At 49.9% G+C, this 27,384-nt stretch overlaps 1 protein-coding gene and 1 long non-coding RNA gene across 7 annotated transcripts, besides 9 other annotated features; one reads left to right on the top strand and one right to left on the bottom strand.

Annotated features, from left to right (window-relative positions):
* NAXD (NAD(P)HX dehydratase) lies at positions 98–24,634 on the bottom strand. Of its 6 annotated transcripts, none has more exons than NR_040103.1 (10): positions 24,447–24,634; positions 17,728–17,878; positions 15,815–15,860; positions 14,816–14,904; positions 12,547–12,655; positions 5,499–5,549; positions 5,318–5,422; positions 4,506–4,621; positions 2,845–2,965; positions 98–1,716 (listed from the first exon to the last, which is right to left on the bottom strand). NR_040103.1 is itself a non-coding variant. In NM_001242882.2 (10 exons), the coding sequence occupies exons 1-10, from the start codon at positions 24,490–24,492 to the stop codon at positions 1,566–1,568; spliced, it is 990 nt and encodes a 329-aa protein (NP_001229811.1). In that variant the 5' UTR covers positions 24,493–24,549; the 3' UTR covers positions 98–1,565. The 6 variants fall into 6 exon arrangements, 4 of the variants coding, with proteins under 4 accessions (NP_001229811.1, NP_060680.2, NP_001229810.1 ...); NM_001242882.2 differs by having other exon boundaries at positions 4,506–4,626; positions 24,447–24,549; NM_018210.4 differs by having other exon boundaries at positions 98–1,852; positions 4,506–4,626; positions 24,320–24,466.
* Positions 2,554–3,382: an enhancer, noted in NCBI's record as "H3K4me1 hESC enhancer chr13:111289059-111289887 (GRCh37/hg19 assembly coordinates)". NCBI's record gives its function as "activates a minimal SCP1, AML or CMV promoter by ChIP-STARR-seq in naive H9 embryonic stem cells {active_cell/tissue: H9 hESC(naive)}" and the evidence as "EXISTENCE:reporter gene assay evidence [ECO:0000049][PMID:30033119]".
* Positions 4,213–5,041: an enhancer, noted in NCBI's record as "H3K4me1 hESC enhancer chr13:111287400-111288228 (GRCh37/hg19 assembly coordinates)". NCBI's record gives its function as "activates a minimal SCP1, AML or CMV promoter by ChIP-STARR-seq in naive H9 embryonic stem cells {active_cell/tissue: H9 hESC(naive)}" and the evidence as "EXISTENCE:reporter gene assay evidence [ECO:0000049][PMID:30033119]".
* Positions 5,042–5,871: an enhancer, noted in NCBI's record as "H3K4me1 hESC enhancer chr13:111286570-111287399 (GRCh37/hg19 assembly coordinates)". NCBI's record gives its function as "activates a minimal SCP1, AML or CMV promoter by ChIP-STARR-seq in naive H9 embryonic stem cells {active_cell/tissue: H9 hESC(naive)}" and the evidence as "EXISTENCE:reporter gene assay evidence [ECO:0000049][PMID:30033119]".
* Positions 6,866–7,528: an enhancer, noted in NCBI's record as "H3K27ac-H3K4me1 hESC enhancer chr13:111284913-111285575 (GRCh37/hg19 assembly coordinates)". NCBI's record gives its function as "activates a minimal SCP1, AML or CMV promoter by ChIP-STARR-seq in primed H9 embryonic stem cells {active_cell/tissue: H9 hESC(primed)}" and the evidence as "EXISTENCE:reporter gene assay evidence [ECO:0000049][PMID:30033119]".
* Positions 23,520–23,569: an enhancer, noted in NCBI's record as "active region_8005". NCBI's record gives its function as "activates an Ori minimal core promoter by ATAC-STARR-seq in GM12878 lymphoblastoid cells {active_cell/tissue: GM12878}" and the evidence as "EXISTENCE:reporter gene assay evidence [ECO:0000049][PMID:35858748]".
* Positions 23,590–23,639: an enhancer, noted in NCBI's record as "active region_8004". NCBI's record gives its function as "activates an Ori minimal core promoter by ATAC-STARR-seq in GM12878 lymphoblastoid cells {active_cell/tissue: GM12878}" and the evidence as "EXISTENCE:reporter gene assay evidence [ECO:0000049][PMID:35858748]".
* On the top strand, positions 23,741–27,012 carry NAXD-AS1 (NAXD antisense RNA 1). Its single transcript, NR_182301.1, has one exon. It is a non-coding gene; the product is annotated as an NAXD antisense RNA 1 (long non-coding RNA).
* Positions 23,920–24,079: a silencer, noted in NCBI's record as "silent region_5506". NCBI's record gives its function as "represses an Ori minimal core promoter by ATAC-STARR-seq in GM12878 lymphoblastoid cells {active_cell/tissue: GM12878}" and the evidence as "EXISTENCE:reporter gene assay evidence [ECO:0000049][PMID:35858748]".
* Positions 24,090–24,339: a silencer, noted in NCBI's record as "silent region_5505". NCBI's record gives its function as "represses an Ori minimal core promoter by ATAC-STARR-seq in GM12878 lymphoblastoid cells {active_cell/tissue: GM12878}" and the evidence as "EXISTENCE:reporter gene assay evidence [ECO:0000049][PMID:35858748]".
* Positions 24,541–25,468: an enhancer, noted in NCBI's record as "H3K27ac-H3K4me1 hESC enhancer chr13:111266973-111267900 (GRCh37/hg19 assembly coordinates)". NCBI's record gives its function as "activates a minimal SCP1, AML or CMV promoter by ChIP-STARR-seq in naive H9 embryonic stem cells {active_cell/tissue: H9 hESC(naive)}" and the evidence as "EXISTENCE:reporter gene assay evidence [ECO:0000049][PMID:30033119]".
* Positions 27,013–27,384: the final 372 nt, after the last annotated feature.

The raw sequence follows: 27,384 nt of genomic DNA, 5'->3' as shown, positions 1-27,384 counted from the left end.
AGATATTCTTATCTCCCTGGCATCTCACACAATGTCCTCACCTAAGAAAGTTGAAAGGTGAGCTTTAGCTGTTTAAGGAAAAAAATACAATACTCAATTTAAATTAACCAGATCTGTCTTTTAATAGTTACCAGAATTTAGATGTTAATTCCCCAGAGGAAAAATGTCCATGGCACAGTTTTTCTGGAAAAGTTCACATGTAGACAGTGAAGCTTCTGAAGTTAGGCGTCAAATTAGTAGTGACAATCTTTTTTTTAATCTTGAAAGTCCCTAGTTTTAAAGAAAGTAGAATCCATCTGGGGCATGTCTGCATCACAGGGTATCACTCAAGAGTCATCATCAGGCCAAAAAGACTCTGAAGGGAACCAGGAGGGTTTGGCCCTTGCTGTGGAAAGATGCTACTGAAAGTATAAGAGAACACCCTAATGCACGCGTCAGGCACGAAACCGTACCATGCCCCGCTAAGACATGGGACCAGAGAACACGTCAACGTCAGGCCGCTCCAGGAAAACCATCCACAAAGACAACAGAAGCTAACCCGAGGTCGACACTGCCATGAAGAGTGTTGGCTGAAACCGCAGTTACCAGTGTCTTTACTGGACGCGAACATCCCTAAGGACACGGCTGTGCTGCTTCCTAAGCATACGTGACCACGATACTGTCTTTCCCCGGGTCTCCTTAGCGCCATCACTGCACCAGGCCCAGCATGCCTCAAGTCCTCCAGAGCCTTCTCCTGAGACAGCACTAGGGGCCACGTCAGACCCCAGGCTGCAGCCCTTCACCGTGCCCGTCCCCGGTCCGGTCTGCCCTGCTGGGGCCGGTGGGTATCATGGGGACCCCTGTGTAGACACGGACACCGGAGAGCGTGGGACAGGAGGCGTCTCAGAGCTCCCCACCCACACACTCAAGGGTCAGCGTCACTCATGTTTCCTTCTGTTCCCATGGTGCCTCCAAAAGGGTTTCCAAACAAAGTCATCATTGATTACCCTGGAGTATGTCAATAAGCCAAACACCAGCAGCCAGATACCACCAAGCTAGTCACCACTTTAAAAGAAGATGAGCTGGAGAACGAAGCAGCCCTCTGATGGACCCAGTCAGTGCAGTCGGGACTCAGGGAGACACCCGGGGACCCCTGCCCAGCTCCCTGCCGGAGGAAAGACTAGGGAAGGGAAGCAGAGGAGGAACGAAGGGCGCCGGCAGAGAGAGTAACAAGTAGAAACTTCGCCGATCTGGGAGCAGGCCGAGAAACTCTGTTGAGCTGCTAAAGAATTCTTCATTCTCATGTGATTTTCTTCATTTCTGTCTTCCCAGTTACTACCAAGGAGCTAAGGAAAGTTCAGGAATACTTTGTTTAGTGTCGCCATAACATCTCCAACCATGCATTAAGTTTAACCAAAAGCTGCAATATTCCAGATTCTTAAATTCTCAATGGCAACCAATTTATGCTCAAGTTGAAAATCTGGCAAGCACCGTACGCCTTCAGCACACGCGTGGGTCCGGATTTTCCCATCACACACACGCTCTCCCCCGTCCAAGGTGCCTGTTTACTTCTGGTCTGCGCGGGCTCAGGTTTCAAAGAGCTTGCTGAAGGCGGCCCCCACCTCGGCGATCATGTCGGAGGTGGTGGTGGAGCGACCGTGCTTCTGGAAGGCTTGGTGGTTGCACTGCCTGGTGAGAGAGCAGGCGCCAAACGCGGCCACCAGGAGAGGGCTGGACCTGCGGAGAGGGGGACAGCAGGAGGTGTGGGGAAGTGGGCGTCGTGGTCCGGGGGCCGCAGCTACCCTGGGCTCTGGTTTTGACTCCTGTTTCAATCTCAGGACCCCAAATTGTCAATTTCAAGTCTGATATGCCCCTGAGGAGAAAGCAGGTTTATCACAGCGAAAACCACCATTAACCCTCCACTACTCCCTGGCAGGAGGCACACAGGAAACGTCTATGTACTCGGAGACAGGTCCAGGGCTAGGGCACACAGTGGGCCAGGTGTTCCCGGGGAAAGCCAGGCGGCACAAGCTGCTTAGCCCTGTTTGACTGTGCTCTCAGTGCCCAGGTGCAGAGGGCATCTGAGGTCTGAGAATGGGGATTCCTGCTACCAGGGCTCCATCTCCTGGGGGAGGGGTGGAGGCAACTCGAGTGAACACAGCAGAATGAACAGTAAGACTCCTGCCCACACCCCTACCTCCTCGGCTCTCAAATTCATGTGGACACACCTAGTTTGGGGGATGGTCCCAGACTCTGCCATCCCGGCAATGAGGACACATGAGGCCACTGGATGACAGCCCTGCCCACCCTCCAGAAGCCCGGGTCTGCCACACCTAGCACCTGCAGCCACCACCTTGATGGGCTCACAGAAGAGAAATGGAGATGCTTAGAGGTATGGGAACTGCTTGCATTCATAAAGTTCTCTGACTACAGAACTGGGCCAAGGGCCCTGGTCCTAGAATTCTGCTGTCTCTTAAAGAAAATTCACATCTTTAAGAACAAGTGTCTAAGTAAGCCTTGACCCTGTCTGTTTTCTATCTTAGTATTCTGTGTTACACAGAATAAACCACTCAACTTCCCAGAACAGCGTGCTGCTGGGCCTTGGTTGCACCTCGGAACTCTCTGGAGAGCTCTGAAGACCACCCCTGCCCCAGGCCCCATCCACAGTGAATGATGGACAGGCCCAGGCCCAAGTGTGGGGTGGAAGCTTCTGCCAAGAGGGTTCGTCTGTGCCGAGATCTCTCCAGTGAAGCCTAGAGTTCATTGTCAGTGTTTCCAGGGCTACTTATTCAACGCATGAGCTACTGAAACAGCTTAGAAAAATCAGACGGTTTCAAAGTAGAATAAATGAAGACGTGGCCTTACCCATTTGTTTTCTGTGGTCCAGCAAGGAGCGCCCAGTGTACCAGGACGCCCAGGGAGCCCGACAGGAGGTCCCCTTGCCCTCCACACCTGCGGCTGCTGCCTTCCTGGCTGCACACAAGCACTGCACAGGGCAGAAGTGAGAGCAGGTGTCAGCATGGCCATGTGTGTGAATGTGACAGTAGCCACGGGTGTGGAAGGCCGCACGGCAGGCAGAGCCACACCCTCCAGGAGCAGCCTGAGGCTCCACTCACATCCTGCCTGCTACGGCTCTTCCCTGTTTGTTCCAAGGGTTGGAGGCAGCCTCTGTTTTACAGAAGAGGAAACCAAGACACGCAGTGGTGAGGCTGCCCCAGACCCCGCTGTGTAGCACAGCAGGTTGGTGGAGACACCTGCAGCTCGGAACCGCCTCAGACGAGCCCAAGCAGGCAGCTCTGAGCAGGGCGGCGCCAGCCTCCAGCTCCTCCCACCAGCTCCCAGGGACGGAGCCCTCACCTGCAGCCCACACTCCAGAGTTCACCTTAAACCACAGCTCAACCATACAGGGCAACACCGAGCGAGGCCTCCACCGGCCTCATAACGTCACGTATGCCTGTGTATGGGAATTCTCTATTTCTTTGAAAAATGTTTTGAAAACCAGGTGTTACATTCTCTGAACCTGTTAGACCCAAGAGAGCCTTCCAGTGATTAAAAAACCCTCATCTCAAAGGTGTCAGAGTCCCTCTGAGAACATCTGCTCTGTGTTCCTTGTGCACAGCTGTGTGTGGATGAGTGTGCGAGGGCGTGTGCGAGGCTGTGAGCATGACCATGCATGTGTATAAGTGCGAGTGTGCAAGGGCGTGCGAGGCTGTGAGCACAACTGTGCATGTGTATGAATTGCATGCGTGTGCACATATGTGCATGTGAATGTGAGTGTACAAGTGTGGATGTGCACACACCCGCCCACAGACGCCTCAGTGTTCTACCCTGATTTTGGTACCTAGTCCAGCCCCACAGCTCAGCAGGTGAGCACATTCGCTGCCCATCATCTGTCCAGGCCTGAATGGAGGGGCTTCCATTTTCAGCGCTAACAAGGGCACGGCTCCCCAGATGCCTCGCTGGCGCTGGGCCCGGCCTCTGCCCTGCTCTCACTTGGCTCTTGCTGAAGCCTCCCCAGGCTCCGTGGGAGTGGCCAGTTGAGACTCGCCACACTCAGTGCCTGAGATTCCACTACCAGCATCAGCTTCGGGGCTTTCTGCACTTTCCAGTCATTTTGATAAAAGAGAATGAAATGCAATAAAATACCCAAATAACTGCATGGATGGTGGATGCCACAGGTGAGATGAAGGTGGCAGCTGGAGACGCGGGACCCTGCACTGTGCCCTGCTGTTGCAGGCACCCTCCCGCCAGACTGCTTCTCATAACTGAGGCAAGGGAATTCAACCAACGGGTAAGGCCCACGGCTCGAAAGCCTGCCCTCACCACTGTCACCTCCCCTGGCAAAACAGTGAAAAGTCAAAACATGGACTCTGAAGAAAGTGTGGTTGACGAGCTCATCAGGAATCCCTGTGTGAATGTGTGTGAACACGGGTGTGCACGGGAGAGGTCTTCCAGGGCTCATGCTCGGTGTGGCCATGCTGACTGACCTGGCACTGGCCCATGCACAGAGGGCAGCCGCCACTCACCCTGCTGGCCGTTGGAGAGGATGTCGCGCTCTCCTTTCTGGACCACCGTCACGTTGCCCAGGGCTTGGCTGAGTCTTAGCACAGATCCATGGCTGTCATCGCTGTCCATAGGGCCTCTGAGCTATGACAACACAGGAAGACAGAGAAAAAGCAAAGTCTTCCTCAGACACACGACGACAGATAGCCCTGTCCCATCCGCCATGAGACTCATGCTCTCGTGTCTAAAGGGATCACCCAGGCACCTGTTAAAGGCCATGTAGGTGGGAGGATGCCCAGGATATCACCTGCAGTGAGTCCTCCGAGCAGGTGCTGACACGGTGCCTGCTCCAGTGCCCATCCTCTACCTCATCAGAGCAGGCTGAAGGAGGACCACCCAAGACTGGGTTCTGAGAGCTTTGCAGGAGTAATACAAATTCCAGTCGTACTGGGCACTAACATTGATGGGACACTTACCATGTGGGGACTCACGGCTTTACATAGGTTTCCTCATCTCATCCTCACAACCCCGTGAAGCTGATGCCATCATCACATTACAGATGAGGCACTCAGGACACAGACAAAGTGACCTGTCCAGAGTGCACTGCAGGAGGGGCTGACTGACCCGAGTCCCTGCCTGTCCCAAGCCCACTACACCATCGTTCATCCAATCCAAGCGCATTAATGGGAAGACGCGCCATCCGCTGGGAGAGGCACAGCGATTACTTGCAGGTGTGTCCACAGGGACAGGCTGGGCAGAAGCATGGAGCTCGTCCTTCACCCTCTTCAGGACGAACAGGGCTTGCATCTACCCTCCAGGGGGTCCACTGACTCACCACAGCGTCATACAGTCTGCTGAACTCCACGTGGTTGGGAGTGAGCACAGCCTTCCGGTAGCCATGGATGAGGGCCGGCTGCTGAGCGACCAGCCACAGGCCATCCTGCACAGAACAAGGAGCCGTGCTCACTGCACAGGCCTTCCGGGAGTCCGAGCCAGGAGGAGAGAAGTCAACTCACCGCGTCGATGACAACAGGGATGTCCCTGGCCTTTGACACTTCCAAAATGCCCTGCCAGAAGAGAAAACCAGACTGAGCACCATGCCTGCTGCTATGGTGTGGGTATGTGTCTTCTCAAAACTCATGGTGAAACTTAATTGCCAAGGGAAGGGTCCTGGGAGGTGGGGCCTTTAAAAGGTGATGTGGCAGTGTCCTCATGGGTTGGTTTAATGACCTTTAAAAGAGGCATAAGGGTCTCTCTCCTGCCCTTCTGCCCTCGCCAGATGCCGGCACCTTGATGTTGGACATCCACCTTCAGAACTGTGAGCCAGTAAACGCCTGTTCATTATCAATTACCCAGTCTGTGGTACGGCTACAGCAGCGCAAAACCGACTAAGACACTTTTCCCAAGAGTGACAGAAAATTGAGCAGACTCTTAATAAAATGCAACATCAGGCCATCAAACAATAAATGGAAAATAATCAAGTAAATGAATAAAATAGAGAAGCAGAAAGACCCAATGAACTCGCAGAGCCCGTAAACAAGGCAGGACACTGGGAACTCTGAAAGGCGAAGCCCACTGGAAACGCTATGAACAACAGCTGGGCTCCTAGGCTAACCCATGAAGACAGCCCCCGCCCCAGCAAGGGCATCCAGTTCTCCAACAGATACTAATACGCAGCATTCGGAGGCAGGAAATCTGAATTCCTGAGAATTCCCCAAATCATTAGTCATTATGTATTTTTCATATCACTTTACTTACACGTTTTAAAATAACAACAATAATAAACAGGGAATCATTTTTCCCTGATAGGATTACAGTGAAGGTTTCAAAGGTTTTCTATTAAAAAAAAAAAACTACATGTATAGATACACACACATATATGTAATATTTGGTGGTTTTTATTATTATGAGCCAATACATTGTGACAAGATTATACACTGCAGTAGCATGTAAAGTGATCCTGACTTGACAGACACCTGATAATACAAAACATTAAAATAGAAAACATTAAACAAAATGAGAGGTGACAGCATGCTGGCAGTCCTCAGAGCCCTCGCTTGCTCTCAGCACCTCCTCTGCCTGGGCTCCCACTTTGGCGGCATTTGAGGAGCCCTTCAGCCCACCACTGCACTGTGGGAGCCCCTTTCTGGGCTGGCCAAGGCTGGAGCCCACTCCCTCAGCTTGCAGGGAGGTGTGGAGGGAGAGGCGCGAGCGGGAACTGGGGCTGCCTGCAGCGCTTGCGGGCCAGCTGGAGTTCCGGGTGGGCGTGGGCTTGGCGGGCCCCGCACTCGGAGCAGCCGGCCAGCCCTGCTGGCCCGGGGCAATGAGGGACTTAGCACCCGGGCCAGCGGCTGCAGAGGGTGTACTGGGTCCTGCAGCAGTGCCAGCCCACCGGCACTGTGCTCAATTTCTCACCGGGCCTTAGCTGCCTTCCCGCCGGGCAGGGCTCGGGACCTGCAGCCCGCCATGCCTGAGCCTCCCACCCCCTCCATGGGCTCCTGTGCGGCCCGAGCCTCCCCGACGAGCACCACCCCCTGCTCCACGGCACCCAGTCCCATCGACCACCCAAGGGCTGAGGAATGCGAACGCACGGCGCAGGACTGGCAGGCAGCTCCACCTGCAGCCCTGGTGCGGGATCCACTGGGTGAAGCCAGCTGGGCTCCTGAGTCTGGTGGGGATGTGGAGAGTCTTTATATCTAGCTCAGGGATTGTAAACACACCAATCAGCACCCTGTGTCTAGCTCAGGGTTTGTGAGTGCACCAATCAGCACCCTGTGTTTAGCTCAGGGTTTGTGAATGCACCAATCGACACTCTGTATCTAGCTGCTCTGGTGGGGCCTTGGAGAACCTTTATGTCTAGGTCAGGGATTGTAAATACACCAATCGGCACTCTGTATCTAGCTCAAGGTTTGTAAATACACCAATCAGCACTCTGTGTCTAACTCAGGGTTTGTGAGTGCACCTATCGACACTCTGTATCTAGATGCTCTGGTGGGGCCTTGGAGAACCTGTGTGTCGAAACTCTGTATCTAACTAATCTGATGGGGACGTGGAGAACCTTTGTGTCTAGCTCAGGGATTGTAAACACACCAATCAGTGCCCTGACAAAACAGGCCACTCGGCTCTACCAATCAGCAGGATGTGGGCGGGGCCGGATAAGAGAATAAAAGCAGGCTGCCCGAGCCAGCATTGGTAACCCGCTCGGGTCCCCTTCCACGCTGTGGAAACTTTGTTCTTTCGCTCTTTGCAATAAATCTTGCTACTGCTCACTCTTTGGGTCCACACTGCTTTTATGAGCTGTAACAGTCACCGCGAAGATCTGCAGCTTCACTCCTGAAGCCAGCGAGACCACGAGCCCACCGGGAGGAACGAACAACTCCAGACGCGCTGCCTTAAGAGCTGTAACACTCACCGCGAAGGTCTGTAGCCTCACTCCTGAGACAGAGACCACGAACCCACCAGAAGGAAGAAACTCCGAACACATCTGAACATCAGAAGGAACAGACTCCAGACGCGCCACCTTAAGAGCTGTAACACTCACCGCGAGGGTCCACGGCTTCATTCTTGAAGTCAGTGAGACCAAGAACCCACCAATTCTGGACATAAAAATACATGCTAAGAATAATTTAAAGTATTGAAAACTAAAGCCGTGTATATTAAATGAAATTTGAAAGCTGACAAAGCATTAGCTGCTCGCCTAACAAAGTGCTCATTTCAGCCTGTTTATGACGCACATTCCAGCCATAGGAAAGTGTGTATTTGGCTCTGACACTGGTCCGAGCATTAGCAGTGTGTCCTGAAGCCCCTTCCAGGGAGGCAGGTACCTGAGACTTCATGGAAGTTTATTATTCCCTTTATTAACAATAAAAATTCTTTGTCTGCTTGCCCTGAGTTTGGCTTTACTGTTAAAACTGGCAGGCTTTTGCTAATTCAGATTTTAGATCAGTTTCTGATTTCATGTTGCAGTATTTGGCAACAATCTGACATTTTCATCTGTTTCTGTGTTTTCTTTTAATGTATTTGCAAATAGTACTCAAAAGTGAATATTCAAACCCTGGAAAATGCAATGTTACATGGGTCTCCTAGAAAGGTTTGCAGCATCAGAGCACCCAGCGCAGAAGGGTGTCCCCACCCATGGGAAAGCAAACCTTGGTACACTAGGGAGAAATCTGGGGGCATCTCTCAAAAATTTAAACGTCCTTACTCTGATTCAGCAATGGAACTTCACCCAAAAGAGTGCACAAAACACATAGATTCAGGACACCACTGATGTTAACATGAAGAAAAAGCTGAAAACAGTGTAAATGAACTAAATACACTGTAGTAGATCCATAAATTCTGATGTGGCTGTTAAAAATAATGAGTATCCACATATCCTTCCATGAAAAAGTCTCCAGGACACACTGTTAACGAGTGTGCAAAGAGCACAGTGTGAGGACAGGTGCATTGGTCAAGAGCCTGCGCTCCAGATTCAGACAACGTGGGTTCAAAGCCAGCCCAGGAACCAGAAGACTTAATGTTGTTAGACATTCCCCCAACTGATCTTCAGTTTCAACATCATCCCTACCAAAGTTGCGGCTGCCTATTCCACAAATCAGCAAGCTGATCCAAAACTGGAATGCATGGGACCCAGGAGAGCCAAAACAACCTTAAAAAGAGCGAATTTGGAGGACTCGGGCTTTCGACGTCAAGGCTTCCTACACAGCCACAGCAGTCAAGACCGGGCAGTTGCAGGACAGCTGTACAGATCAACAAAACAGAAACAACAGTCCAGAAATAAGCCTTCACATTTAGGGTCAACGGATTGTCAGGGAGGATGACAAGTTGGGAGGAAAAAGGAGTCTCTCCAGCACATGGTGCTGCAACAGCTGGACACCCACAAGCAAAAGACTGACGCTGGAGCCTCCTCCTACCACACCAGCATCAGCTCGACATGCACCGCAGAGCTAAAGTAACAACCAAAACAATAAGGCTCTTAACATGTAGGAGTAAACCTTGGGTTAGGCAGAAGCTTCTGAGATAAGACACCAACAGCACAAGGGACAAAAGAAAAAACAGCTAAATTGGACTTCAAAATTAAAAACTGTGCTGTAAACAAAACCATCGAAGTGAAAAGACAACCTACAGAATGAGAGGATATCGGCAAATCGTCTCTCTGATAAGGAACCTGTGTCTAGAACGTATATGAAGAACTCCTAAAAGTCAATAAAAAAAAGGCAAAAAACAGTTTTCAAAGTGGGGAAAGGGTATGAATAGACACTTCTCCAAAGAAGATACCCAAAGAGGCCAGGCATGGTAGCTCACGCCTGTAACCCCAGCACTTTGGGAGGCTGAGGCGGGCGGATACCTAAGGTCAGGAGTTCGAGACCAGCCTGGCCAACATGGTGAAACCCCATCTCTACTAAAAATACAAAAATTAGCTGGGTGTGATGGTGGGCGCCTGTAGTCCAAGCTACTTGGAGGCCAAGGCAAAGGAATCACTTAAACCCAGGAGGTGGAGATTGCAGTGAGCCAAGATCACGCCATTATACTCCAGCCTGGGTGACAGAGTGAGAATATGTCTCAAAAACAAAACAAAACAAAAACAAAAAAAAAGATACCCAAACAGCCAATGAGCACATGCAAAGATGCTCAACAGCATCAGCTGCCAGGAAAACGCAAACCAAACCACAGTGAGGTCGCTCCACGCCCACTAGAGTGGCTGCTAAGTAGACAACAACAGTAACAAGTGCTGGGAACGATGTGGAGAATCAGAGCCCTCGCACACTGCTAGAGGGAATGGAAAATAGTGCAGCCGCTATGGGAAACAGTGGCAGGGCCTCAAAATGTGAAACACTTAACACCCAGGAGAGTGAAAACACATCCACACAAAAAGTGGAAACCAATTTTCCATAAATTAATCAACAGATAAACCAAAGGTGGTGTATGCATACAGTGAAATATTAGATATAAAAAGGAATGGAATACTGATACATGCTACAACACAGGTAACTCTAAATATAAAATTATGCAGAGTGACATAACTAATCACTAAATAGCACACGTTGCATAATTCCATTCATATGAAATGTCCTGAACAGGCGAATCCAGAGAGACAGAAAGCATACTAGCTGAGTGGCTGCCAGGAACTGGGGAGACTGGGGAACAGGGAGCAGATGCTAACGGGGATGGGCTGCTTCTGGAGGCAATAAACATATTCTAAGGTTGATCATGGTGATGGTTGCACAACTATGAATATACTTGAAGCCACCGCATAGTTCACTTTAAATGGGTGAGGGGTATGGTAGGTAAATCATCTAAATAAAGTCGTTTTTAAAAAACCATCTCTGCAGTTTCTTTGCTACCAGATCCCACGGGCGTCTTGAATCCTTGCCAGGACTCAATCTGTCATCAGAAGAATGGGGCTATGAATAGGAATCTACCTAATCGGGTTGTTTTCAGGCCTACACCAGATGATGACCTCATTCAGGAACGTCGACGAAGTAGGAAGCCTCTGCTCCGCACCAGACACGAGCTGGAAGCTGACGAGGAGGCGGCAGCCCACGCTAGATGACCTGAGGGCTCTCAAGACCACGGCAACAGTGTACAGGAACCAGAATGCAAGGTCCAGAGTCTGGGCTGCAGGGGCAGCGACGCACACCCTCACTTCCCACCTTTCACACTTCCACGCAGTACAGTGGTTTTTTAAGATACCAGTTTTTAAATTGTGAACTTAAATTCACAAAGAAAATAACCTGAAGCAGAGCACTCTGGCTCGTTCACCTCTAATTCATCCGCACCCCCAGGATGCAGAGCTGGACAGGAAGCAGCAGCCGTGCACCGCAGACCCGCAGCCTGCAGATGGGACTCCCCATTGAGAGCCTCTCCCCGGGGATGACAGAGGGTTCTACTGCTCCTAAACATGGCCACCTCCTCCTTCCCGGTGAGCGGGTAAGACCTTAAAGCTCAAAGACGGGCTCCCGTGCTGACTCCACGCCGCTTTTCCTGGTCTGTGCAGTGTCAGCCTGCGTCTGCCTGCCCCTCAGATGACTCATCCTGCACTGCTGGCTCCATCACTCGCCGCCTTCAAGCCCCGCAGCCTCAGAGACCCCTCCATTAACTAAGCACCCAACAGAGTGCCATGCAGATGGCTGGCATTTTCAGGGTGACTGCTGATCTGGGGAACACAAAATGGCCAGGCACCTTCTAAGGGCTTCAAGCGTAGTCCCTCACTAATGCCCGGCCTCTGATCCCCATGCAGTCACCACGCCTTGCACATGTGAGCACCCTGTGGCACCAAGCCATCTGGCACACTGTGTCTTCCCCCAGGAGCTCTAACAGGGGTCCCCCGGAACTTGAGAAAGGGTCTCAGAGGGCAGCCCCACAGGAGCACAACCCCCAGCAGAGACACACCAGCCCAGGGAGCGTCAGAGGACGCAGGGAACACAGAGCTGGCAGCCATCCCCATCTTTTTATCGCCCCTGATCCCAGGTGGTATTTATTTACAGCAGGCACAAAGTGATCAGAATAACTTTCATCTTTTGGATTTAGGTGGGCATAAGATGAACTTTAAGAAAGAAATACCAGCATAAATGAGAGTCCATGCGCATATGCATGTGGGCACGGACAAGCAGGCCCGTGTCACCTCACAGCCTGATGTCAGCAGAGCATGGCGCCAGGGCTGTGTGGGAACAACGGCCCAGGAGGCTGAGGGAACCCCAGGATCCCCCAGCAAGAAGGGGGTGGCCTGGGAGATACACCCAGGCCTGACCCCAAACCTCTGTCACCTCCTCAGTCCTGCTCACCCTCTCCTCACATCAGACATAAAACAACTGAGCAACTCCACACACACACCTCCTGCAGCTGCTCCATGAGAAAACAGTCGGGCCCGGAGAGAAGCACATCTCAGCACAGTTCCTCCCCACCTTTGCACTCAGTTTCTCCTCCGTCCCTCAAATCTTATCTCAATCATGCCACAAAGAGGCACACGGAACACTACACAAAATGCAAGAGAAATGCCTCTGTTCCAACTTCACGCCTAAGGCTAAGCCTGTCATGAGGGAAGTGAGTGAGTATACACATTACCTGGACATTTCTGAGAAGCGCATCATCTCTACCCAAGCCAGGTCCTACGACAAGAGCATGCAGCCGGGGCAGCCACTTCTCCACCTCATGAACAGCATTGGGGCTGTCACTAAAGAAGGAAAGGAAGGCCAGGATGGTTACCCACAATTCCTCATTTACTTACTGTCATGTATTTGTTTACATTTTATTTTGAAAAAATAACTTATAAATAGTAATGACTTTTAAATAATTTCTGTAATTTAGATTTATTATTTAATCAGTACAGAAGGCTCCCATGTACCCTTCGCCTAGCCTCCCCGAGGTTAACGCCTCACACACCCACATTCCGGATCAGCATGACCAAGTTCACATTGGTTAATACTATTCATTAAACCACAGCATTTTCCAAATTTCCCATTTCCTCTTGATGTCCTCTTCCCATGTCAGGACCCAAACCAGGCCCCACACTGCATGTGGCCATTGCCTCTCCCTGATCTCTCTTTTAATGCCCAGATTTACATGCCTAGCTTTCAACAGTTACGACAAGTTAGAAAAAGAACGATGGCTATTTTCAAAATCATCTTTGCCCTCTAAAGTTAGCCCGTTTGTTTCCATCACATACATGTGTGGCTGTAAAGCCTACTTTGTGTGCTTATAGACCAGGCCCCACACAACGCACTGACCCTGCTGCAGTTTCTCATTCAGAACAGGGCAGGGGTTTGCTTTTTCAGAACTCCTTCCTGTTCGGTGTGACCTCTCCTAGAGCCCACTGTTAAGGCTTCTGTCCCCTTTCCTCCCCGACAAGCTCCCTTGTCAGGGTCACCCCGCACTGTGAGATGCACCAACTGTTCTCAGGCCTCATCTCCAACTGACCCAGAGTCGCACACACAGGCCCTTCTGGAGCTGTCTGGAAACAGCGGCTTCACTGACTCCTGGAGGCCCCTGCTGCCTCCTCCCCAGCCCGTGCTCCCAGCATCTGAGTGCCAAGTCCCCCCTGCCCCCAACCCCAGCCCCCCTCCGCCTCTTACTCCCTCGTCTTCCAGCTTTAAGCACCGTCCACATGTGCATGACTCCCAAGCCCGTGTCCCCACTGTCCAATGCCCTCTAGCCACGTCCCTTGGATGTCTAACTGGCAGCCAAACTGCGCCCTACACCCAACGCCTCATCTTCATCCCACCCAAGCCCGTTTCCACCACATGGAGTGACCACTCGCTCAGACCAAAACCCTTGGTGGAGTCTGTGCCCCTTGCCTTTTCCAATCCAATCTGTCGGCAAATTCCACCCCCAAACTTTCCAAACATACCCAGAATCCGGCCCCTCTCACCATCTGACTGCACCCTTCCCTCCCACAGGTCCTTACCACAGCCTCCGGCCCAGCCCCACAGCCGCGTAGGAGCCTTTATGACCCACACTGGCCCTGCCCTGCTTACTCAGGGCCAGAGCCACAGCCCTGACAGCAGCCCCACACCCTGTGGGGCCCAGCCCTGCACCTCTTGGTCACCCGACACATCACAGCACCGCACCTGGAGCTCCGCGCCGGCTCCTCTCTGGTGTGGAGAGGCCGGGCTCGACCCAGGCGTCATCACACTGTGCTGCCGCCCCAACTGCCCCTCTGCCCACTCTCACAGCCCCCTCCCTGCTGCCGCTCTCTACGGTTCCTTCACCACCTGACATCCTCCTCTCCCTTGTCTCCAGAGCAGCACAGCCCAATCCAGTCGGTGCAAACACACACAATGAAAAGTAAACAAGAGCAAACGCTCTGCTCCCGCACCTCCCAGCCACATTTCAAGCCCTCAGTGGCCACAATCCTGGACGGCAGAGAGAACACCTCCACACAGCAAGCTCTATAGCATAGGCGGTCTGGGGGAGCCCCACGGGGGCAGGTTTTTGCCTGCCCAGTTCCACGCTGACCCATGGAACACAGGCTAGGGCCTGGCACCAGACATATGTGCCGAGTGCAGGAAGGGTCTTGTTATTGCTCAGAGGCCCTTCGTTTCCACCTTCTGCAAACCTGTCACACACAGCCCACAGGGCCTCCCTGCCTCTGGAGCTGGGCCCCGGCCATTTCCAACAGGCCCAAGCTCCCCCACCCACCTCTCCACCCCGCCGTCTCTGTCTTATTCTGACCCCAGAAGAACGGGCTCCTTCATTTCCCTACTTCCTCTACAGCACCTGCTGAGAAACTCTGAGGATGGAAAATCCATCAGGACGCTTTCGGTGTCAGTGCCAAAACCCCAAATGATGCAGGAGGGAAAGAGAACCTACGAGAAGCCGGCGCAGAGCGACTCACAGAACTGGGTGGACGATCAGCTCCGGGCTGTAGGCCTTAATCACAGGTGCGGCCGCACTGGCACAGAACACGTGGGACAAGTCTGCGCCCTGATGAAGGAGCACAAGAGGCCGACTCAGGGATCGCTCCGGCATCGCTGCCCACCCGCCAGACACAGGCGTCCAGCGCTCATTACTCAGCCCTGGTGACGTGCATGAGAAACGTACTAGCTCGGATTACACCCAGCCAGGTGGCTTAGCAAAGGGCCAGGGCGCAGAGCACAATACCTAAAAAGAAAGACTTTTGCCGCCACTGCAGAGGCAGGGTCAGAGCCACACACACCAGCACGGCCCAGCTCGGTCTGGTCACCCTCCAGGAGGAAGGGTCACAGGAAGAGGCCGGCCGTTAGCACTTGCTCAGCTCATGGGAAACTGCAGGATCAGCGGCTTCAGCTGCGACCTACAAAGGCATCCCAGGTGCACTTTGGTGGAGTACAATACAAATCACGCTTTAGGTTTTAAAAATGGGCTTCAATTGAGGCCAGGTGCAGTGGCTCACGCCTGTAATCCCAGCACTTCGGGAGGCCGAGGCGCATGGATCACGTGAGGTCAGGAGTTCGAGACCAGCCTGACCAACAGAGAGAAAACCTGACTCTACTAAAAATACAAACAAAATTAGCCAGGCGTGGTGGCAGGTGCCTGTAATCCCAGCTACTCGGGAGGCTGAGGCAGGAGAATCGCTTGAACCCAGGCGGCGGAGGTTGCTGTGAGCCGAGATCCCGCCATTGCACTCCAGCCTGGGCAAAAAGAGCGAAACTCTGTCTCAAAAAAAAATGAGCTTCAACTGAAGTGATCTTGTTTATGCACAGATGTCAGGATAGACTTAACGGTGTTTCTATTAGCTATGATTACCCTAAGATATTATTTAGATTTCTATCAGAAAACATTTGCTTTAATCATATTTAAATAATCAAACTCTCTACCAGAAAAATCCCAATAAAGAAATTTTAAGTAAACATACCACTTTGAGAGCTGAGATTGCTGCAAAATATGGGGCTCCAGTGTACCTAAAAAGAAGGTATTTAGAGTCAAAAACTTCTGAGAATAAGGTAAGCATACCTTGATCAATAAATAGGTTATCAATAAAAAATAGACATAAATAATATAGACATGGTTTATCAATAAATAACAGAGACATGAAGCACACAGCACAAACCCAACACCTAAAAGATGCTCAGCAAATGTTCAATGAACATGAACCAGGTTCGACTAGAAATGTCTTTTTTTTTTTTTTTTTTGAGACAGAGTTTCACTCTTGTTGCCCAGGCTGGAGTGCAATGGCACGATCTTGGCTCATTGCAACCTCCGCCTCCTGGGTTCAAGCGATTCTCCTGCCTCAGCCTCCTGAGTAGCTGGGATTACAGGCATGCGCCACCACACCCGGCTAATTTTGTAGTTTTAGTAGGGACAGGGTTTCTGCATGTTGGTCAGGCTGGTCTCAAACTCCCAACCTCAGGTGATCCGCCCGCCTCGGCCTCTCAAAATGCTAAGATGACGGGCATGAGCCACCGCGCCCAGCCAGAAATGTCGATCTTTTACATAAAACCTTCATGCATTTCAGGAGAGTGAATCTCTGGCAGTAATGCCTGCAGTCTCCCTGCAATGTGAATGTTCAAGGTAAGGAGCTGACCGCAGGCTTCTGCCTGGAGAGAAGAAAGTGACAACCACATGTTCGGAGCAGTCGGGCATGGACAGGGTCCCAGAGTGGGCAGACCCCGTCCTCCAAGAGTCACAGTCAGCAGAGGCCAGATGGGGGCCACCTGGGACAAACAAGAAACGGCACCCACCACCCAGCTGCTTCCGCCTGGCTGTTCTGGAATCCCTGGCTCTCCAGGTCTAAGGGCACTTCAGGCACAGAAAGGAAGAGCCCTGCCCTCCGTCAGATGGGCAAATGCAACCTTTATGTCCATTCCGAGCAGTGAAATGTTTTGCTAACCCAAGAAAGAGAGACCTGGGCAAATGCTGATACCCATCACCTTACATGGCCTTCTCCTGCAAAGCGGTGTCAATAGCGTTGTAAATGCAAAAGACAGTACAGAACAGGCAACATACATGCACACACTCTTCCATCATGTGAAAACAAGCCTCACTAATAAGAGAAATGCATTAAAACAACAAGAAAGCTTGTCGACTTCACTAGCAAAGGTTGTCCTCCAAGGGCTGCAGGGAACAGGTGCTCTTGGGAGGCAACACACACTAACGCAATGGGGGGACAATTCGGCAGCGTCACCAGCATGTAAAATGCACACATACCTGATCCAGTAACAACTCTAACACACCCTATGGCACGATCAACAGCTGCAAATGGAGGGATGGGCAAAGAGAGATACCACATCCATGCAAACAGAAAGCAAGCAGAAACAGAGGAGCCACGGCAGGCTTTCCGTCAGAGGCAGAAGGTATCCTTCACACCCAAGGACAACTTACAAACAGCTACGTACCAAACACAGCAGCAAAACAGAACAGAAGCAAGCTAGGGATTTGTCAAATTTCATAAATGACTTTCAGTAACATCTTTAAATTGACAAAGTAAACCAAGAGGTTGCTGAGTGTTTCTATCCTAAATACAAAAAACATGCTTGTGGTATGAAGTCCAGTTAAATACAGAAAAGCAGAAAGTGGAAAAAACAGGCTCATTTCCCCACTACGACAAAACTTAACACTGACACACATGAGGGAGTAATTCAGTCAGGGCTCCTCAGAGTTATTTCCTAGTTAATCAAAAAGTGGATCACTGAAAAATACTGAGTGTCCTATCAGGCTGCATTTGGAAATGATTACTGAGGTCAAACTAGACAGCGTGAATGACAGTCAGGTAAGCAGCCAGCCAGCAACTGACTTTTTAAACACCAACACTGCACATCAGCTACTTACTCCTGACAGCCTCCAACTACGCCTATTCTTCCATCTTGCCCTTTGTGCTTTGTGGAAGACAGAGGAGGTATGATATTTCTCACCAGCTGCAAAGTATTTTCCATATCCTTTATCGAATGTGCTTTACGTAGCGAAAACGCTCTTTCTAAAACTGAAAGACAAGAAAAATGAATAATTCAGAAAGGTAAACAGATATTGTTAGTACACATAATAGCCCATTAACCAAAACCCTCTCCAAAGTTATTACGAATGCTATAGATTTTTACCCAATGGATTTCTGTAAGCAAATATGATGTTCAAAATTACATTAACACATGCAATTTTTTTTTTCTTTTTTGAGACGAACTCTGACTCTGTCACCCAGGCTGGAGTGCAGTGGCGTGATCTCAGCTCACTGCAACCTCTGCCTCCCAGGTTCAAGCAATTCTCCTGCCTCAGCCTCCTGAGCAGCTGGGATTATAGGTGTCTACTACCACACCTGGCTAATTTTTGTATTTTCAGTAGAGATAGGGTTTCATCATGTTGGCCATGCTGGTCTAGAACTCCTGACCTCAAGTGATCTGCCAGCTGCAGCCTCTCAAAGTGCTGGGATTACAGGCGTGAACCACCATGCCCAGCCTGAACACATGTAATTAACACATATAGTAACACATGCTATTTATTTATTTATTTGAGACAGAGTCTAGCTCTGTCACCCAAGCTGGAGTGCAGTGGCACGATCCTGCTCACTGCAACCTCCACCTCCTGGGTTCAAGCGATTCTCCTGCCTCAGCCTCCGGAGTATCTGGGATTACAGGCACCTGCCACCCTGCCCTGCTAATTTTTGTATTCTTAGTAGAGACAGGGTTTCACCATGTTGGCCAGGCTGGTCTCCAACTCCTTACCTCAAGTGATCTGCCCGCCTCAGCCTCCCAAAGTGCTGGGATTACAGGCATGAGCCACCCCACCAGGACAACATATGCTATTTCTATCAGGTTTATTTTTGAAATGTATCTGAAATTTTGGAAGACCATTTAATTTTCCAGAAAGTTTTATCAAGTAAAAAAATGCATTATTACTTAATAAACTATCACTTCATTTCAATTTCCCTTTAGGATTATTAGGTCTTTTCTCTCCTCACAAACTGGAAAGCAAGCTCCCACCTGTAATCCGCTGGGGTGCTCAGAAGTCTGACAGATTCATCATATTACTCCCAACTGTATTCCAACACTCAACTGGGTATTAATTAAATAACCTAGAAATGGCATTCTAAATATGGCACACCTCTTAAATTGGGTTCAAAGTGGCATTTAATGTATTTTCATCATCTTGAGTTGTCTCTAAACAGCTACACTTCAATTGGCCTTTCTTGAAGAGCTTCCTGTGTTATATATTTTACCTTAATATTTAAAACAGCTCGGCTATGAGAGAAATGCTGGTATGTTCTATAGAGCTCAATGAATAAAGCATACATTCTCCCTAGAATGAAAGGATCTTTGCAAATATAAACAGTATTTTTTCAAACAAGGCACTCAATATTTTTATCCTTCCAATTATCTCAGCAGCAGAGAAAAACCAGTGTCACAAGTTCCACTGACTGCAGTCCAAAGCTCACTGAGCGTTTCACAGCAAAAGAGCTTTGTCTTTTAACTCTTACAGTTTTACTTTTTACTCAACAAAACTTTTGAAGGAATTTTCTTTATGAGTAGATGTAACTGCCTTAGCTGATAGAGCAGATGCTGGGATTCCCCAAGATAAAAAGATCCTATGAATCCCCATCAACCCAAATTCTTTTTTTTTTTTTTTTTTGAGACAGAGTCTCACTCTGTCGCCAGGCTGGAGTGCAGTGGTACAATCTCGGCTCACTGCAACCTACGACCCCCTGGTCCAAGCAATTCTCCTGCGTCAGCCTCCTGAGTAGCTGGGACTACAGGCGCATGCCACCACGCCCAGCTAATTTTTGTATTTTTAGCAGAGACGGGGTTTCACCATGTTGGCCAGGGTGGTCTCGATCTCCTGACCTTGTGATCTGCCCACCTCGGCCTCCCAAAGTGCTAGGATTACAGGTGTGAGCCACCGCGCTCAGCCCAACCCCAAATCTTTTCACCTTCTTCCAGACCAACACACAAGACCCGGCACAGAATCACTATAAACTGTGGGCCAAGGAGAGACACAATGAAGCTTGCTGAGCTACCTGCAGGGGACCAATGCACCCATCCTTGAAATCCCTCCAGGAGGGCTAAATTATGGTTTTAAAACAATACACTTGTCTAGAAGAGACATTTATGGGGCCAGGCGCAGTGGCTCCCCGCTGTAATCTCAGCACTTTGGGAGGCCAAGGTGGGTGGATCACTTGAGGTCAGGAGTTCGAGACCAGCCTGGCCAACATAGTGAAACCCCATCTCTACTAAAAATACAAAAATTAGTTGGGCACGGTGGTGCATGCCTGTAATTCCAGCTACTCGGGAGGCTGAGGCAGAAGAACTGTTTGAACCCAGAAGGTGGAGGCTGCAGTGAGCCAAGATTATGCCACTGCACTCCAGCCTGGGTGACACAGCGAGACTCTTGTCTCAAAAAAAAAGACATTTATGGGTATCGATCAGCATCCTGTCTTTGTCGTGGGGAGCTGTTCTATGCACTGAAGGATGCTGAGCAGCATCCCCGGCTTCTACCCAGTCAGCAGTGCATGTACACGCACCCAGTGGTGACAACCAGCAATATCTCAACACTCCCAAATGTCTTCTGGATGGGGCAAAATGAGCCTGGGTTAAGAACCACTAGTAGAGATGCATGCGTGTAGTTTTAGCACCTTTAAATATACCAGTACTTCAAATTAAATATTTAAGGTCATATAAAATATAAATTGTGACTTATGAAATCACAGAGAAAAACAATTTAGTCAGACTTCAACTTACGGATGTTAAAAATCAACATTTATATCAATGTACCCTGCCTGATGAAAACAACTCCTAAATGGTAATACTTCATAAATGTGTATTTCTCACAATAAGAAAAGGAATAAAATGGTTCCACCAGATAATACTGTATATTTTCCAGGAGGCTTCTTTCTCCCAATATCCAAGATTCATATCTTACAAACATCTGTATCTTAAATTTCAGATTTAAGTCTTAAAAAAAGTACTATAGGTGAGGTATGAAATATTTAATGTTTATATCAAAAAGGGCAAATACCATAAACCCACACTGAACTACCCATTTGCACTTTGCCTCATAGTTGAAATAACCTATACATTACCGGAAAGGATCTGACACAAAATTAAGCTGCAGCCACGAGTCCAGGTGGAGCACCTGTCAGGTGGAGGGGAGCACCAATGCCCCTCTGCAACCAGTGTCGCCCAGCACTCCCAGGAGGGCACAGCAGGGCCGCCTCGGGGTCACAACTGCAGCACCAGAGCTCCCAGGGATGCTGTGTTCCAAGTGCTTGTCCTCTCCGCATCTGCTCCCCAGAGCGGAAAAGCTTCCCTTCTGCGTCACACTCTGCTGAAAGTCCTCCCAGTACTTTTGGTACTGGGATAGCACCTTTCTGATCTTTTTGGTTGAGAAAGAGGAGATATGCTAGTCCAGGCAAGGATACGCTTAAAACCTACAGGCTTTAAAGCTAATACTGATTTTTGTTGTTATTCAAATAATGACAAGAACACATACAATTTTTCCTGCACTTCAAGGTAAGCTTTGTTAAAATGATAAGATATCAGGGGGCTCAAACATCGAATACAATATACGAATAAGGGCCACTTTCTAAGGCGGATTTTTCTACAGCAGGTTAAGCATTAAAGTCCCATTTACCACAAGCCAAAAATATCAATTCTGAGTGTGTAAAACCCACTGCATTCACACGGCAATCTTTATCATAGCTAGGAAGAAAACACGGGGGGAATCCTGTTCTGAGCTATTCCTTTATCTTATACAGAAGGTAGTGTTTTGAAGCCCAAAATGTGCAAACCACCTTCACAGCAACTTGATCAACCCACCAGCGGGAGTCGCCTCCTCCTGCTCCTGTTCCGTTGTGAAATCTTAAGACTTTGTGAGATTCCCAGTTCCCTGGCCATGATGCTACCGTAAGGGCTGGGTCTAAGAACCCTGGAGAACAAGAAGCGCCATCCAGAAACTGAATATTTCAAGATTTACACATGAGAACAACGGCTCTCAAATGGAAGCTAGCTTAAAATTATGTTAAACTCATAATATAATTAATAGTAACTTTTTTGCTACATAATTTTAAAAATTCAAAGTGATACCAAAAGTAACTATTATTACATGTGGGGTTCTGAAACCTTTCGAGCACACAGACAACCTACATGGTAGGGGCTGACCTGGACATAAGAAGGAAGTTCTTATGTCTGGACTGGCAGAGAATCAGCACCCTACTACTGCCTGCCCACGAGGAATGTGGCACCATCCGCAAGCTGCAGCACTGACTGCTTCCATGTGGGACTCAATCACCTCGAACACAGCCTGGCACAGAACAAGACACTTGATACATGTTCGATGAAGTCAAGACATCGTGATTCACTCTCCTCACTAGCACTTTATCTTTCTTTTACAGATAAGGAAACTGGGGCCCAGAGAGAAACCTGTGCAGATGCTGTGGTTAGTAATGGACAAGCCAGGCCACAAGACACTATTTTACCAAAGTGCTGCCATGTTTTTGTTTTTATTTTTGTGGGCACACAGTAGGTGTAAAATGCTGCCATTTTAAGGCAAAATAAGAAGTATAGCATTTTCACTTGAATAGAATTGTATTAACACAAAGTAAAATCCAGGCTGCTCACCAGCATTCACCTAAGATAAACAGCTTCTGTTAGCAAAAGGGCCAAAGCAGGTCAACTAAACTTCCCAGCACTTGGCAGTGAAGCAAGTTCCAGCTGGCTTACTGACGTCACCATTTGAACTTAACATTTCAAATGTTAACACAGAAACATTTACATATAAAGATCAAAGTTCTGAAGGATAAAAAGGCCTTGACAATAGGCGACTTAAGATGTATCCCATTCGGTAACTCTTCAGACAATTCTGAGTCTGGAAGAACAGGTTAAATTTGTTTGGCTTTTGTTTTAAGGAAGCGTGTCTGGGGAAGACTATCACTGCTGCTTTGTGCTAAAAGTGCTTTTAGTACTGGAAAATTCTACTTAAAAAAACAAAAATACTTTAAGTTAATGTGAGTTATAACTAATTTAGAGCATTTAACCACAATCCCTAAGTTAACTGAAATATTTCCTAAAGCCTCAGTAATATACAACTCTACCTGGCTTTTCGTAAAAGTTTAGGCAGTCTGATAATAAATCCTCAACCAAGCGCAATGAAAAATCTTGCTACTAATCACGGTGTGTGAATTTAAGGTAAAGAGCTACAAATAAATCTCTAAATAAAGTGTTAAGAAGCCTCCCTGCTGGTGTGAGTGAGGTGCAGTGTAGAGTACCCTCTCAGCGCCACCCAGTGCATTCTCAGTGTGTGCTGATGAAAACAAAAAGCCAAACTCTCTGACGATGCCCAACATACACACAAGGTAAAATCTATCTAATGACTACAGCAACAAATGGTGCGTTTAACCATTTCGGCCACTCACTGGCTGGAGAATCCTGGCTAAGTCACTTTCTCTGAGCTTCTATTTATCTTCTATACCAAGGTGGATAACAGCAATCTCTCCTTATGAGAAATGAGATATACACGAACTACTTCCTGTATAAAATATGTTAGATACACCAATACCAACAAGGCAAACAGAAAGACAAAAAAACCCTATGAAGAGATGGGGCTCCAAGCACTTGCTCAGCTCCTGTTTAAATTCTTTCTACCTTATCCGTTCTATTTGAAAAGGCATCTCAGCGTGCAAGGACCAGCCAAGGCCAGGGCAGGGCCCTCGGGGACATCTGGCCAGCACTTCAGGTTCTGGGGATGACTCAGGTGAGCCTCCCTCCCCAAGGGACCTCCTACACGCACACACACACCCCGAACCGGGGGCGGGCGAAGGAGGCCTGGCTGGTGGAGTCCTTTTCTGCGGCCCAGGCGTCGCAATATCCAGTCCCTCTCGTCCAAGGACGTGCAGGGTCTGTACTTGCCCAGTCGCACTGGGACTTCAAATTGGGGATGCAGACACGGCCCTGCTCCTGGTGTGCGCGAAGCCCGCTCAGCCGGCCAGCTCGCCTGCACGCCCGCCGCGTCCCTGGGCCCCAGGAGGGCCCCCGTATCCAGCTCCGACCAAACAGCAAGCCCGCAGTTGGCGAGCATCTTTCCCAGACCGGGAGCGGGGACAGAGCAGAGCAGACGGATCCGACCAGCGCACCACGGCGCCCCAGGGCCCTCCTACCGTCCTCGGCCCTCGGCCCCCCGTTCCCCGGCCACCGCGCGGGCTCCGCCGCTCCTGGGACGCGCACTGGCTCCGGCCCGGCGCCACCCTCTGCCCCTCTGTCACCCCGCACGGAGGCTCCCATCACCCAAGCCGCGCCCAGCCGTCGCCGCGCCGTTCCAGGAGGCCTCCGTCCTCTCCCTACTCCGCCCCGCAGGCCACACGGCGCCCCGGCCCCGCGCGCGGGCTGCCCCTCGGCGGCGCTTCCCCCCCGCGAGCCAGCAGAGGCGGTCAGCGGTCGGGTACCTGCGTCCAGTGGCGGCCCGTACAGCGCGAGTGCGGCCGAGAGCAATGCGACAACGACCGCGCCGGCGACGGCAGTTCCGGCCCCCGCGCGTGTGACCATCCCCGGGCCAAATGGAATCGACCTTACCTCGTCTGCAAGCCCGGATTGCCCCACAGCGAGGACCCAGGGCCATCGGGCAGCATTCCGGATTCCCAGCTGCCCCCGCGCCGTCGCCGGAAACACAGCCATTGGAAGCGTTTTCCGGTTTCCCGACCGCCTCCGCGCGGCTGTCGGCAGTGGGATCCCAACTCGCTCAATCACACCCGGTTCTAGATGATTGACAAGCGCGACGCCCAACCCGGCCTGGTCCCAGCTCTGGCCTAAGAGGTTCGGCTGGAAGGCAGGTTGAAGAGTTAACAACGATCTGGTTCAGGGTCTGGTTTGTGTTTATCGGCCCATTTTTAGGCTTGCGGCGTTATAGAAAATGATTTTGCTGGCAGGTGGAGTGCCGAGGCCCACTATGTGCCCCCAGTATAGCAGTCAGGTGCCTTTCTGCTCCAGGCGCAACCTCTGCCCTGAACCCCAAACCAGCTCGCTGCGAGGCCCCTTCGCTTTCCACCGTCTCAGGTCAGGGCAGCTCCATCACTCCAACGCTGAGGCCCAAACCCCTGGAAGGCATTCTGACCTCTCCTGCCCTCCCACCCACGCTCCTCCTGTGGCTGATGGCCTCTTACCTCCACTGCCGCCCTATTTGAAGCCACCGTCATGGTGCTAAAAGAAACTTGTGGGGCCAGGTGCGGTGGCTCGCGCGTGTGATCCCAATGCTTTGGGAGGCCAAGATGGAAGGATCGTTTGAGCCCAGGAGTTTGAGACCAGCCTGGACAACATAAGGAGACCCCCTTCTCTACCAAAATTTTTTTGGAAAATTAGCAGGGGATGGTGTGGCACACCTGTAGTCCAGCTACTTGAGAGGCTGAGGTGAAAGGATGGCTCAACATGTCAGAGGCCTTTTAACCAGAGCGATTCCATCTTGAATAGGGACTGGGTAAAATGAGGGTGAGACCTACTGGGCTGCATTCCCAGGGGGTTAGACATTCTTGGCCACAGGATGAGGTGGTGGGCACAAGATACAGGTCACAAAGACCGCACTGATAAGATGACACAGTAAAGAAACTGGCCCAAAGCCTACCAAAACCAAGATGGCCACAAAAGTGACCTCTGTGTCCTCATTGCTCATTATTTGCTGATTATAACGTATTAGCATGCTAAAGGACACTCCTACCAGCGCCATGAGAGTTTACAAATGCTATGGCAACATCAGGAAATTACTCTATATGGTCTAAAAAGGGGAGGAACCCTCAGTTCCAGCAATTGCCAACCTCTTTCCCAGAAAACTCATGAATAATCCCCTCCTTATTTAGCCTATAATCAAGAGATAACTATAACTATGTGTGGAGTTAGTTCCTGCCGGTGGGTTCATGGTCTCACTGACTTCAAGAATGAAGCTGCGGACCTTCACAGTGTTACAGCTCTTAAAGGTGGCATAGACCCAAAGAGTGAGCAGCAGCAAGATTTATTATGAAGAGGCCGGGCGTGGTGGCTCATGCCTGTAAGCCCAGCACTTTGGGAGGCCGAGGCGGGTGGATCACAAGGTCAGGAGATCGAGACCATCTTGGCTAACACGGTGAAACCCTGTCTCTACTAAAAATACAAAAAATTAGCCGGACATGGTGGCGGGCGCCTGTAATCCCAGCTACCCAGGAGGCTGAGGCAGGAGAATGGCGTGAACCTGGGAGGCAGAGCTTCCAGTGAGCCGAGATCGGGCCACTGCACTCCAGCCTGGGCCACAGAGCGAGACTCCACCTCAAAAAAAAAAAAAAAAAGATTCATTATGAAGAGCAAAAGAACAAAGCTTCCACAGCATGGAAGGGGACCCAAGTGGATTGCTGCTGCTGGCTGGCGGGGGTGGGGGGGTGGGGCAGCTTTTATTCCCTTATTTCTCCCCTCCCATGTTCTGTTTCTGCCCTATCGGAATGCCCTTTTTTCAATCTTTCCTGCAATTGGCTACTTTTAGGATCCTGCTGATTGGTGCGTTTTACAGAGCACTGATTGGTGCATTTTACAATCCTCTTGCTAGCTACAGAGCGCTCATTGGTGCATTTTACAATCCTAGCTACAGAGTGCTGATTGGTGCATTTTACAATCCTCTTGTAAGACAGAAAAGTTCTCCAAGTCCCCACTCGACCCAGGAAGTCCAGCTGGCTTCAAGTCTCATAAGTATATTCAGTCAAGCAGCCAGTGCCACTGCTCTGCCTATGGAGTAGCCATTCTTTTATTCCCTTTCTTAATAAGTTTGCTTTCAATTTATGGACTCGCCCAGAATTCTTTCTTGCACAAGGTCCAAGAACCCTCTTGAGGTCTGGATTGGAACCCCTTTCTGATAACAGAGTGAAACCCTGAACTACACCTACCAGACCAAACCAGTAAGGAGTTTAACTACAGTAACTGAGCTTTACTTCATGGCAGGAAACTCTGTAACCAGTTAAGCAATGAAGTTATAATCAAATTAGCTGTCTCCATCACACACTTCTGTTTCCTATAGGTGCTGTCAGATCAGGTTCCTGATTGGAGTTCTCTTATCTGCTCTGGTTTGGAGGGCTGCCCCATTCGGGAATCTGTTTTGTTTTGCTCAAATACACTCAGTTAAAACATACACGTGTCTAAGGTTTTTCCATTTAACAGTGTGTGGCCTGGATGATGGCAATAGTCTGCTGCATGAGTGTCAATGAAAAGAGTCAAACTCTAAAATATTCGAGATTTATTCTGATCCAAAGATGAGTGACCATGGCTTGTAACATAGCCCCTGCAGATCCTGAGAACATGTGCCCAGGGTAGTCGGGCTAAGCTTGGTTTTATACATGGTAGGGATACGGAAGACATCAATCAGTACATGTAAGAAGTACGTTGGTTCAGCCCAGAAAGGTGGGACAACTCCAAGAGAGGAGCTTCCAGTCATAGGTGGATTCAAAGATTTTCTGATTGGCAATTGGTAGAAAGTTTACTTAAAGACTTGGAATCAGTAGAA

Source organism: Homo sapiens, chromosome 13, assembly GCF_000001405.40.
Source record: "Homo sapiens chromosome 13, GRCh38.p14 Primary Assembly".
Taxonomy (NCBI): Eukaryota; Metazoa; Chordata; class Mammalia; order Primates; family Hominidae; genus Homo; species Homo sapiens.
The sequence above is the reverse complement of the archived record's forward strand: the minus strand, read 5'-3'. Positions and strand labels throughout refer to the sequence as shown.